General features: G+C 53.4%; 1 protein-coding gene across 11 annotated transcripts in view, besides 6 other annotated features; it reads right to left on the bottom strand.

Moving 5' to 3' along the window:
• ZMIZ1 (zinc finger MIZ-type containing 1) overlaps positions 1-12,149 on the bottom strand; it is a 247,554-nt gene that overhangs the window by 173,470 nt on the left and 61,935 nt on the right. For all 11 annotated transcript variants that reach the window (XM_047425538.1, XM_047425539.1, XM_005269988.4 and 8 more), the window contains one exon: positions 3,273-3,368. The gene's annotated coding sequence lies outside the window, so the exon portion shown is untranslated. The remainder of the gene's footprint in view (positions 1-3,272; positions 3,369-12,149) is intronic.
• Positions 4,918-5,418: a transcriptional cis regulatory region, noted in NCBI's record as "chr10:80897389-80897889 region (GRCh37/hg19 assembly coordinates) targeted for CRISPR interference". NCBI's record gives its function as "negatively regulates PPIF gene expression in LPS-stimulated THP-1 monocytic cells {active_cell/tissue: THP-1(+LPS for 4hr)}" and the evidence as "EXISTENCE:mutant phenotype evidence [ECO:0000015][PMID:33828297]".
• Positions 4,918-5,803: a biological region, named in NCBI's record as "H3K4me1 hESC enhancer GRCh37_chr10:80897004-80897684". NCBI's record gives its function as "regulatory_interactions: PPIF".
• Positions 5,123-5,803: an enhancer, noted in NCBI's record as "H3K4me1 hESC enhancer chr10:80897004-80897684 (GRCh37/hg19 assembly coordinates)". NCBI's record gives its function as "activates a minimal SCP1, AML or CMV promoter by ChIP-STARR-seq in naive and primed H9 embryonic stem cells {active_cell/tissue: H9 hESC(naive and primed)}" and the evidence as "EXISTENCE:reporter gene assay evidence [ECO:0000049][PMID:30033119]".
• Positions 5,173-5,332: a silencer, noted in NCBI's record as "silent region_2530". NCBI's record gives its function as "represses an Ori minimal core promoter by ATAC-STARR-seq in GM12878 lymphoblastoid cells {active_cell/tissue: GM12878}" and the evidence as "EXISTENCE:reporter gene assay evidence [ECO:0000049][PMID:35858748]".
• Positions 9,944-10,444: a transcriptional cis regulatory region, noted in NCBI's record as "chr10:80892363-80892863 region (GRCh37/hg19 assembly coordinates) targeted for CRISPR interference". NCBI's record gives its function as "negatively regulates PPIF gene expression in LPS-stimulated THP-1 monocytic cells {active_cell/tissue: THP-1(+LPS for 4hr)}" and the evidence as "EXISTENCE:mutant phenotype evidence [ECO:0000015][PMID:33828297]".
• Positions 9,984-10,278: a silencer, noted in NCBI's record as "tiled region #4581; K562 Repressive DNase matched - State 5:Enh". NCBI's record gives its function as "represses a minimal TATA promoter and a strong SV40 promoter by Sharpr-MPRA in K562 cells {active_cell/tissue: K562}" and the evidence as "EXISTENCE:reporter gene assay evidence [ECO:0000049][PMID:27701403]".

The raw sequence follows: 12,149 nt of genomic DNA, 5'->3' as shown, positions 1-12,149 counted from the left end.
AATGAAGTGACACAACACTGACACGCACGTATATGATTGCCCACCAAAGGCAGAGAGCTCCCCTAACTGGGAGCAGGTGCTCTGACACTCACTCGCGGCCTGGGAAGGTTCACATCTTTTAGGATAAAGGATCCACACCATGCTCAGGTGCTCAATAGGGAGCTGCTCGGTGCCTCTTCCCCATGGGCAGCATGTGACCTGCCACCTGGAGCCCTGCGTTTTTGGACAAGGGGGAGGAGCCCCAGAAAGCAGGAGGGAGGTCCATAGTGCTAGCTGAAGAAAGTGGGAAAGTGGACAGACATCAGGGCAAGATGCTTGGCCAGGGTCAGGGAGTGCCGGCCAGGGTGACGGGGAGGGCCCAGGCATGCGCTTGCCCACAGCCCCTAGCCCCTGTGTGGCCAAGTGTGGGCAGGAAGGCGGTGTGGTCTCTCCTGTCTCTCCATTAGTCCTCTCCAAATATGGCTGGTTTATTGAGGCCTCTGAGCCTTTGTGTAGGCTGTTCCCACTGCAGCATACAGAGTCCTTTCCATGCACTGCCCAGCAGAGTCTTGCTTGTCCACTCAGAGCCTGCTTTCTGTTCCCCTCCCTGGCTGCACCTTCTCCAGCTCCTCTGCAGACCCCTTATCCACTCACTCCCCTAAACGGCTGGGTGCCCCGTGACTCACATTCAGGCTCCTGACCCTCTCAAGCGCCACACACTCTCGAGTGATCTCATCTGCCTCACGACTTGCAACACCATCAATCCACGACAACTCCCAAATTTATATCTCTAGTCTGGGACCTCTCTCTGCCTTCCCGACTCATATTTCCAGCTGCCCCCTCAATCTTTCCACTTGAACGTCTCAAAGGCATCTCAAACTCAATGTGTCTGAAACAGAACTCCTCAGCTTCACGCAGCCCTCCCCGGCCATTGTCCCTGGCTGAGCAAATAACCACCTCCCTTCTACCACTGGCTCCTGTCCCAAACCCAAGGGCCTTCCCTGACTGTCTCCGTCTTTTTAAATCCTCCACCTCTAATTCACTAGCGAGCCTGCCTGCTGGGTCTCTGAAATATATTCAGCCTTTGATGGCTTCCCACCTCTTCCTCCACTACCCCTTCGTCCCTGTTCCCATCACCTCTACCTGGATGTGGGCAACAGCTTCCCAGCTATCTCTCTGCTCCACACTTGTCCGCCTACAGGAGTGGGTCCTCCATGATCTCTCTGACTTCGCCCCCTATCCTGACATCCTCCCAGCCACACTGGATTATTTGCATTTCTTTGAACAGGTCAAGTACATCCCTGCAGACTCCCTGGCTGCATTCAGCTATCTTAAATGGCCAACTTAACAGAAGCCTTTCTTGGGTCAGGCAGAGTGGCTCACACCTGTAATCCCAGAACTTTGGGAGGCTGAGGCAGGTGGATCACTTAAGTCCAGGAGTTCGAGACCAGCCTGGGCAACATGGGAAAACCCCATCTCTACTAAAAGTACACTAATTAGCCAGGCATGATGGTGTGTGCCTGTAGTCCCAGCTACTCAGGGGGCTGAGGTGGGAGAATCACTTCAGCTGGGGAGGTCGAGGTTACAGTGACAGAGTGAGACCCTGTCTCAAAAAAAAAAGCTTTCCTTGGCTAGTGAAAGAGTACTTTACACTGTAGACTCTGTGCTCCTACCTGGCTAAATTTGTCTTCTTAAAACTTAGCGTCACCTGACCTATTCACTTTTTAGGTATTTATCATCCATGCCTCCTCACGAGAGTACAAGCGCCGTAAGGGCAGGGAGTTTTGTCTGCTTTATTCCCTGCTATATCTCTGAACTTAAAGAGTTCCTGACAGACTTTCTCGGTCAACACCTGGGGAATGAATGCATGAGCAATGCCGCCTCCTCCTCCCCGAATGTCTGCCTGCAGAATCAGCCACGTCCCCTCTCCCTCGTCCCCTGTGTCGTCATGGTCACCACACAGGCTTTGAGCACTGCCTTATGGAACTCAGTCTGGCTCTGGGATCTGAGTCGTACTCCATTGCACACCACACCCTCTCAGGGCAGGGCTAAATTGGCTCTGTCTTCAAAACCCACCCCCGGACAACGAAGTGAGACCCCGTCTCCACAAAAATTTAAAAATCAGCTGGGCGTGGCGGTGCATGCCTGTAGTCCCAGCTACACGGGAGGCTGAGGTGGGAGAATCGCTTCAGCCTGGGAGGTCGAGGCTGCAGTGAATCATGTTCGTGTCACTGCACTCCAACCTGGGTGACAGAATGAGACCCTGCCTCAAAAAAACAAAAACAAAAACAAAAACCCCAGCCCTTAATGCGGGCCTGGCCTGGTGTGAGAGTCCATGAATATTTGATGAGTGAATTAAAGAGTAAATAGATGGGTGGATGGGGGGAATGGGTGGGTAAGTAGTTGGATGGAAGGACGGATAGGTGGTGGAGGGATGAATGGGTGGATGAGTGTGGAAGGACTAAAAGAAAGAGGGATGGATGGAGAGATGGACAGGTAAGTGGATGGATGATGGATGGATGGAGGGATGGGTCTCACAGGCACACAATACAGACTAGTGGTTGCTTGGCCTCAAAAGCAGAACTTCTCTTGAGAGGATGAGTGCAGTACGGTCGAAGTAAAAGCATAGAAGCTGGTATGGCAAATAGGATGAAGCCAAGCTGCTGTGGCGTGGCCAGAGCTAGCTGTGTGATCCCTGGCAGGCACCATTAACTTCCCTGTGCCTTGTTCTCGTGGTCTGAAAATGCAGATAATAATTCTTGCCCAGAGCTGACAGGGAGAACTTTGGAATTTTGAATGCTGCCACAAAGGAGACCACAGCCACATCCCCAGTGAAGCACATCTCCAGCCAGGTCTGCTTTGGAAAATCCTCCCTTCTCAAGCCCCACATGGCACTGTGGACCTCGTAGCCTTAGAATCCAGCATCCACAAAGGCTGGGACCCCTGGCTACAGCCCTAGAGTTCCAACTGAGCCAGGCTGCTAAGATGGCTCAACCAAATCAGACACAACTGACTCACAGAATCCTTGAGAACTGAGGTAAGTACAGGACCTGAGCCCAGTGCCCCATTTTGGAGACAGACAAACTGACACCCAGAAGCCTTTTCTGGCAGTATGAGCACCACACAAGGAGTTATAGAGAGGCCCTGCAGCCAGGCCCAGGAAAGGCTGTGAGAAGCAGCTGAAAACCCTCAGCTCTGGTCCAGCCACAGCACTTCTGGGCTGCTAGGGCTTGCCCCTGCCCAGGCTTAGGCAAAGGTGATGGTATGGCCTGGGCATCGGGGGCTGGTGTTACCTTTCGGGGTATGGCAGCTCAGTGAAAAACAGCGGCTCCTCTCCTCACACCCCTTGCAGCATTGGTCCGACGCCAACGGGCCTCCTCCTCTTCCTCCTGGGTACACAGGGGAGAGATGAGACGTGTGTGAGAGCAGGCCGGTGTGCCGTCCACTCCCCTCCCACCTCTGTCCCTGCCGCCAAGCTAATCTCAGCGGCCTCTTGGGTCACTTAAGCACACCCCGGGATGCCTGATTTATCAGAGCTGGCTGTGTCTTCCCCGCCCAGCCACACTCCAACCAGCAAGCCAATTCCTCCTAGTGGGATTTTGAAAAATATATAAATATAAGTTTTGTTTCTTCCAGGACTGGGGACTTTGTGTTGTCTTTCTCTTCTTAGTAGGAAAAGCAGAACAGCATCACTTTCCTGTACGGCCCCCAGGCAGGGTGACAGGGAGAAGCTGTCGGGGGTATTTTTAGCCGGGTGTACAAAGCCCTTGCCGTGGCCTCCTCTCTGCGCCGTGCCTGGCTTCGGGGAATTATCTCACACGGCCGGCCGGCAGCCACTTCCAAAGCCACTCTGTGACCCCTGCCTGAATTCTTTCCTCATTATGAATTGCTCACCAGATCCCTGACCAACACTCGGAGCCATTTTATGTGTGTACGCACCTCGGGAAAACCAGCTCACTCCCTTGCCCCTCCTACAAGGTTCAGGGCTGGCTGTTTTGCTTATAACTGGGAGAGGAGGCCCAGATGCAGAGTTTAAAGCAGAAAAGAGTCCTGGTGATGAGTTAGATTGTGCTCCCCAAACTTCAGCTCTTCCTCCACGCTCTTTAGGATTCTTGGTCTGAGCTGAGATCTACCTGTGTGATGACTTAATTTAATGTTCACCTTCCACTCACTTTTTTTTTAAGCTCCAATAAATCTGGCCTTGTCCAAAGCAATCATGCCCTTGAAATAATTGATTTGATAGGCTAGTTATATATTTCTGATACTCTTTAATAAATTGTAACTAGTAAAACAAAAATGTATGTCCTGTTGGGTACTATCTAATTCTAGAATCTTGCTGTAGACTACCAGATTTACCTGGGCCAAGCTTTGGCAAACGTTGTGCAGAAGAAGAGGGAGAGGCATGGAGGAGGGGCGGGCTGGCTGATGGGGCCCAAGAACTGGTCATTGTATCAGGCCAAGGGATGTAAGGGGTCAGAGCCATGGTGTGCTGCAGCCTTTAGTACTGTCTCTCTTTCTAGCACTGGGCAAGACCATTTTTGGCCCCACACTTGAACTAGGCTGGGAGGATCTAGGTGGGATGGGCACGAAGCATCTTGGGGACGGGGTGTCCCAAAGGAGGGCCAGCCCAAGGCCCAGGGCCCAAAATGGCGTCTTTCCCAGCATTCTCTGAGGCCTCTGGTTCACTCTGCCCCTCCGGTCAGGCTCCTTTTGGCTGGAGTGGGTCCACAGAGGCCAGAAGGCGAATCCCCTTTCTAGGTAGATCTGGAGGCGCAGAACATTCCCCTGAGCCCTACAACCTATGCTCTTGGCGCTCTGACCCTGTGGGCTCCTGGGGGCCTTGCACTGCCTCTGGGCCTCTGCCTCCCTGTGTGTGCTTTGAGAGGAGGCTGGCAATGGTGGGCACCCCGCAGCACTGGGGCCTCACTGCTGCTCTCTGTCCTTTCCCACTCTGCCCACAGGTTGGAGACCCTGGCTGGGCCCCTGGCCCAGTGCCCGCCGCCTGCCCCTCCCGCTGAGAACAGGATGTGGGTGTCAGGAGGTGAAGGAGAGTGTGGGGGTCGGGATGGGGAGTGGCCTCGGGACGGGACTTCCTGAAGCCAGATCGGTTTACCACAGTCAGTTGGGCCCAGGACCGCACAGCTGTGAGTTATAAATGTCCCTGTCAGAGCCCGGGCCGAGAGGCCCTGCTGCTGGCAGAGGCGCCAGGGCCCACAGCGCCCACCCTAGGAGCACCCCCCCCCCAGCCGAGGGCCCGTCCTCTCAGAGGTCCTCCCCCAGGGTCCAGCCCTCACGACCTCTGGGCTCTCCTGCCTCCTCTCGGAGAGAGATGGGTCTAGTACAGCCTTCCCCTGCTCACCCCTAGCCCTTCCAGGTGCAAATCTTGTGGTCCCAGTTACCGGGAGAGCTCCCAGAGGGCAAGGACCATTCTGGGTCTGCACCCGGCAGGAACCTGAAGCTTGGTGCACAGCCAGCCACTCAACGACCACTGTAGGGGTGACTGTTCCAACTCAGCAGCCTGCTTCCCACGGCCCCACCCGCCCCTGCCTGTCCACCAGGGCACATACCGAGGGGGAGTGGGAAGGGAGAGGGGCCTGGCCTGCCACACCTAGTCCGGGTGAGTAGGAGCAGCAGGGCTGGCCACTAAGCCTCTGGGCACAGGGCTCTGTGTCCTGCATATGCAGAGAAGACTCCTTCAGAGACCTTCCCTGAGGTACCCATTTTCCTTTGTCTGCTCCCTCAGAGCTCCCTCCATCTGGGGTGTGAAGTGTAGACTACAGCTCAGAGGCCAGCCTGCACATAACACCGCTGTCCATAGGGTGAGAAGACAGGTCCCTGGGACCCCAAGGCTGGGCCATCCTGTCAGGACCACCAAAGTGGGCAGCACAGGGCTGGGCCACAGAAATACAATCACAATAACAGAAACAATCAGGAACAGCTCAGGTTGCAGGGCCTGAGGCTTATACAATTTTGGAGGCCCTGTTTTAAAAATTATTTAACATTACAAATATATATTTAGAATCAGAAAAGAAATCACAACAAATTCCTATATTCTTAGGAATCCATGCCCCTTTCTCATGAGGCCCCTGTTTAACAGTTTACCAGAAATACTTACATAGAAATGTTCCTGTTTGCAAACTGCTGCCCCTCCCACCTAGAACACTCTATAGCTCCCAGCAATTCCCAGCCTTCACCAGGGCTGTGCCCAGGAGAGGCCAGGATGCCTAATCTTCATGTGCTTCCCTGTAAGCCTCCCTCTAATCATAATAAGAGTGATGAAATGGATAGTGATATTTAACCTTTAGCTGTACTGTTCTAAGCACTTTATGTAAATTAATCCACTTAATCTTACCACAACCTATGAGGTCAGTACTATAACCAATTTTTAAAGATGAGGAAACAGAAGGTTAAGAAACCAGTCCAAGGTCACACAACCAAGATGTGAACCCAGACAGCCTGGCAGGGATGCCATTGCCAGCCCTTCACCACTTCTCTCCACCTCCCTCAAGTGACCAGAAGGGTCTCCTTCCCTGAGAGGCTTCAACAGCAGCAGCAACCTAGGGCTGACTCTGAGTAGGCCCCCTTCTGATGAAATAATTCATTCATTCCACACAGATGCACTGAGCACCCAGCACACCCCAAGATCTCGGCAGGAAACAGGGGCCTCCTGTTTACCTCACCCTGCCCAAGGCAGGGCTGGGGTCCTTGCCACAGACAGAAGTGGGCACCATCTTGACTTCCTGGGACAGGCTGGGGGGTCCTAGAGACGAGCTGGGCCTGCCCCAAGGAGACCCTGGAGGGTGGGGAGAGGGGGAAGGTTTGCCAAAAGTCACATGGCCTGTTGTCCAATTCTCTCATTTTACAGATAAGAAAAGGTGGCCTGGAGACGAGTGACTTCCTGAGGGTCCCCTGAGAGTGGTGACCTACATGAGTTCTGAGACTATCCTTCTGGAGGGGTGGGGCAGATCCTGGAGGACTGGGGTGGCCAAGGCCAGGCCTGGGGGAGGAGGCAGGTGCCTTTTGGCCCCCTAGGAGCAGTGCCTTTGTTTTCTCTCTTTGTTTTCCATCTGCCCTCAGCCCCAGCGGCCTTCCCAGCTTCCCCTGATTGTGTACAGGGCGATAAAGGGGCTGATGAGAGGGAGATCTCTGGCGGCACAGACACAGCGGCGGCGGGTGGGTGGGTGGCCGAGAGGGCCCCTGGAACTGGGCTCACTGCCGGCTGTACTGAGTCTTCCTTTGAGGGACACTTTGCACATGACCCTCAGAACCCTTTCAGCACAACTGTCCCCATCTTATAGAGGAGGAGACTGACGCTTTGGGAAGCAGCAGCCAGGCCTGGAACCCTGGCCCTTGGACCCCAAAGCCTTGGGGATCTCCAATGGGCCAATGGGCCACGCTGACCCTGACCCTTAGCTCTCTGGCCACCCAGACAACACCTGGCCTTGTCAAAGCTGTTATCCCTTTAACTCGAGAACTGGGCATTTTCAGATTGGCCAGGAAGAAAGAGAACAGGGGCCAGTCAGTGTCTCACCTATCAATGCCAGGGGAAACAGGTGCACCGCATGTCCATGTGAAGTGACACACTCGCAACTGGTGGCTTGGTGGGAAATGGGGTAATGTCCAACCTCCTGGCCTCCCCCAACAGAGTCCCAGTGAAACTACCTTTAGGAGGACAAATGACTGCTCTCTTGTGGGCTAATTCTGACCAACTGCAGGGCTGGGGAGAGAAGGGCACAATCTGAGGGCACCATCTGCCCAGTCATGGGATGGGGCAGTGGTGGCTGCAGACCTGGCCCACCTTGCCCCAGGTCACTGCTGACCCTGACCTCAACTGCCTGGCCTCCTGACCTGGTCTTCTCAGACCCTCCTCAAGTTATCAAATAACCCACCTTATTAGGTACTGTAAGCCGTGTCCATATTCCATCTTAATTCTTTATGTACTTAAAAATGTATCAACCAGGTGCAGTGGATCATGCCTGTAATCCTAGCACTTTGGAGGCGGAGGCGGGCAGATCACCTGAGGTCAGGAGTTCGAGACCAGCCTGACCAACCTGGTGAAACCACTTCTCTATTAAAAATACAAAATTAGCTGGGTGTGGTGGCGCATGCCTGTAATCCCAGCTACTCGGGAGGCTGAGACAGGAGAATCACTTGAACCCGGGAGGCAGAGGTTGCAGTGAGCCAAGATAGCACCAGCCTGGGCAACAAGAGCGAAACTCCATCTCAAAAAAAAAAACTATTTAATTATTTATATCACTTTAAACCAATTACTTTTTTTTTTACTTAGCCTCATCAAAAGCACTATGATCTGTGAAATCATGGGTTTGATGTATTAATTATATTTTTTTCCTTAGTTACATGAACATACATACATAGTGTTAAAATTTGACACCCTCACATGTGTCCGGATAGCCCACAGGGTGCAAGGCCAGTCCTGGGGAAGTCTCAATCCAGGTTGGGAGAAAGCCTAGCTAAGTGCAGTCAGGGTGCCGTGGGGCAAAGCCCAGGGCTGCCCAGGGAAGTAGAAGGAGGTGGAGGTTTTCAGAAGGGTACACAGAGGGTTCAGTTTGGGCCATGGGCTAAGTGCTCCTTTCCTCTGCATGAGTTGGAGTCTGGTCCTCATAGTTCTCCAGCAGCAGATAAAGCCACCTCCCTGCAAATTCCTCCTGACAACAGCATACAACAGTGGGATGGGCACTGGAGTCCAGTCTAGAATAGCAGTCTGACTCTGTCCCTGGTCACTGTTTTGCTGGGAAGTGCTAGGCCTCTCTGGGCCTCAGTTTCTCCATCTATACAGAAGCGGTGAGTGAGCCACAGGTTCCTCCCAGCTCCACCAATCAGACTGCAGCACCTTCCCCCTACCCCGCCCTGAGCCCCAGTGGCATCTGGTGCTCCTGGTGACCCCGGGCTTCAGACAGGCCCTCGAACCCCCCAGGTGGGCCTCCCTTGACCCCTTCCTCCCATATCTGATCAGGGGCCTCAAGTGGTGTCCGGGGTACAAATGGGAGAGAGGGCCATCCTGTGTGACAGCTATAAAATCCGATAATCAGCTAATCACCAGCAAATTAGCATCCATCTTTACATAGAACAAATATAGTATTTATGTAAAAGTTGTTAGGAGTTTCTCTCTTTTTAATTAGCAGAAATAAATGCAAAATGAATGGTAATTAGGCAGCTGATGGATTCGGTAGTACAATTATGCCTGCGGCAATGCCCCAGTCCTTAAACACTGCATGCTCCGAGGAATCAGAGGAGCCTATTTATATGATTTATTTATAAAACAAAGTTAACAGAAACAGAGGGGTGAGGTCTGGGCACTGCTGGAGGAGGGGTCTTGGCTGCAGAGGCAAGGCCCTGGGAGGAGAGGGAGCTTCAGTGCCCAAGGAATAAGGGGGAGGGGGGTGCTTAGTGTTGAGCTATGAAAATGCACTACCAAGGTCCCCATGTGTCTATTTCAGGCCAGGCATGCGTCGCTAGGAATGGCCTCCCTGGCAGGAAGCAGGCTAGGGCAGTATGAGGGGCTGGGAGCAGCTGTTTTTATACTCTTGTCTGTCTCTTTCTCTTCCCTGGTCCCTACTTCTCTCTTCTTTGCTGGCCCTATACTTTCACTGAGCACTTCTCTGTGCTGTACCCCTGAGGTGCAGAGGGAAGGGAATATTCTTCCTTTCCTCCCGGAACTCCGGAGAAACCAGATCCAGGAATAATGGAGGCCAACACAGTGGGAATAAGTTCCAGACCAGCAGAGCACCCAATGCTGTGAGAGTACAGAGGCAGGAACCCAGAGGAAGCAGTCCTGAGGAAGAGGCACAAATTGGGTTTTGAAGGATGCACAGGAGTTTTCTGAGAAGGTGGGAAGTAGCCAAAGGACCTGCATGTGAAAAGGCAGGGAGGTAGGAAACAGCATCATGTGACTGCAGGAAAAGAGTGTACTAGGGGGTGGGTGCTGGAGAAGCAAGCAGGGTCTTGGATGCTATTCTAAGGGTTTGGACTTGATCCTAGAAGCTGTGGAAAGGTCTGAATCAAGGGAGTGGACAGCCTCTTTCCACCGACCGTTCTTTTCTTAGCTTCCCCTCCCCCACCCCAGAGCCTGCGAGGGGGCCAGGTCGACAGGTCATTAAGAGGCAGCTGGTCCAGCTCATCGGAGCAGGAGGCTAACCTGATTACAGGGACAGGAGGTCTGTCTGCATGGGAGGGAAGGAGGAAGGGAGAAAAAAGGGAAGTGGGGCCTGCTGAGCTACCCCTGAACTCAGGGGTGAGGGGCCCATCTTCCCTAGAACACAGTCCCTGGCCCTGCCCCCACCCCACTGCCTCGCCAAGCCTGAGGGAGGGGAGAGAACACTGGCTGTGGGGCCTCATCGCCTTCTCCCAGACCCAAACCCCAGCTCACCACTGCTTTGTGCTGTGACCTTGAAGAGCCATTTCCAATTCTGGGCCACACATTCTAGTCTCCAAAACAAAGGCTTGAATTAGAATAGGGGAGAGGCAGCAAATTTGGCCCCCAGTCTCATCCCATGTAGTATACTTTTACGGGCATGGGTTGTCCAAACTTTTAGGAATTTAGGTGGGGCAGGCACTCTCCAGAATGCCACAGTCCTCGCTGCTCCCTGCTGCCTCACTCCAGCCCAATACACAGGCTTGTGTGGTATGCTGCAGGCAGCAGCTGAGTGGAGACACCTGCACGAGGACCTGGGCTCAGACAGACAGAAAGCCCGGCCGAAAAGGCTGGTGATCAGAGTAGCTCCCCTGCCATGTATTACCCTTGTAGGAGGAGACATGGGAGCCACTGCTGCACTCAGGACTTGGAGTGGACAAGCAGCCCTTCCCTCTCTCCAGTGACTACCCTGACTCAGTCTGCCGGCCTCTAAAGGGGAACAATATTACCTGCCCACCCAAGCCCCGGGGTCATTAGAAAGCTCAGAGAAGCTCGTGCACGTGGCAGTGATCTGAAAGTCAAAGCCCAGGGTAGTGGTTTAACCGTGACTTTGAACACTGCAGGTTCTGAAGGATTTCACAAAGGGAAGTTTTACACTCCCCAGTGCAGACAGCTCTCAAACCTCTGGAGCCTCCCTTTAAAACAGCAGTGCTCAAAGGTCTTTCAGCAGCCCTGGCAAGGTCTAGAAATGGTGTCTGAGCTGCTATCTGCCATCACTCTCAGGAACGCGCTCTGAACTTGTAAGGGAAGACAAAGATCACACCGCACCACTTCTCTGCTCTGTAAGTTGTGCCTTTGGCCAAAATCAATACAAATCTCCACTATGATTGTTCCACCAGAACAGGGGCCGGGCCCTTGCGATGACATTCCAGCCCTGGCCAGCACAGAGGGTCTCCCTTTATCACATGACTTCAGCCCCAACTCAGGGGGCAGCAGAGTGTGGGGTGGAGGTGGGGTCCTGAATGAGGGGGACAGCACAGGGGAGAAGCAGAGGGGGCCATGCAGAGCTGCTCTAAGTGCCTCTCCAAAGACAAGCCTGGTGCTATTCATCAACTGGTTTTCAGGGCTGTGAGAAATCAATGGCATTTGTGCTGCAAACTCATCATTAGGACAGGAAAAACTCTGCAATGGAATTGATTTGTTTAAATATAATAACACAATTTAACAGAGAACTGTGGGGGTGGGGAAGGGACCGAGGCAAACAAAACAGGCACGACAGCTCAGAGAAGAGGGAGATAAACCCCCTGAAAAACCTTCCAGTGTGGCTGCTGAGCCCCAGTGCCACCCCCACCTATCCCCAATCCCCCGCCACCGAAGAGGCCAGAGTGGGCACGTGCTGTTCTCCTGCACAGAGTAGCTCAGGACTGGTCTCAGAAATGTCCTCAATGGGCTGTGGATGGGCCCAGAGGCCTGGCTGGTCATTGCTGCATTGTTCTTGGAGGTGACTTTGCTTGGTGAATATCGGTTCAACCCAACAAATTCTTATTAGGCATCCACTGTGGTCCATGAACCTGTGCAGAGCTGTGGGGGACATGGGAAGAACTCCTGGCCATAGCCTGAAGGCATTCCATGGCAATGGGGTGGATTAGGCAAGAATGCAAGGCTAGGGCAGGCTGGCTTCCTGGAGTCTCAGGAGATGTCAGGCGGGGGTGCAGCGGGATGCTAGAGCAGGAGGAAGACAAAGAGGGAACAATCCGGGCAAAAATGCAAGGACCCTTCAAAGAACTGGGAGGGCCCC

Source organism: Homo sapiens, chromosome 10 (genome assembly GCF_000001405.40).
Source record: "Homo sapiens chromosome 10, GRCh38.p14 Primary Assembly".
NCBI lineage: Eukaryota > Metazoa > Chordata > Mammalia > Primates > Hominidae > Homo > Homo sapiens.
The sequence above is the reverse complement of the archived record's forward strand: the minus strand, read 5'-3'. Positions and strand labels throughout refer to the sequence as shown.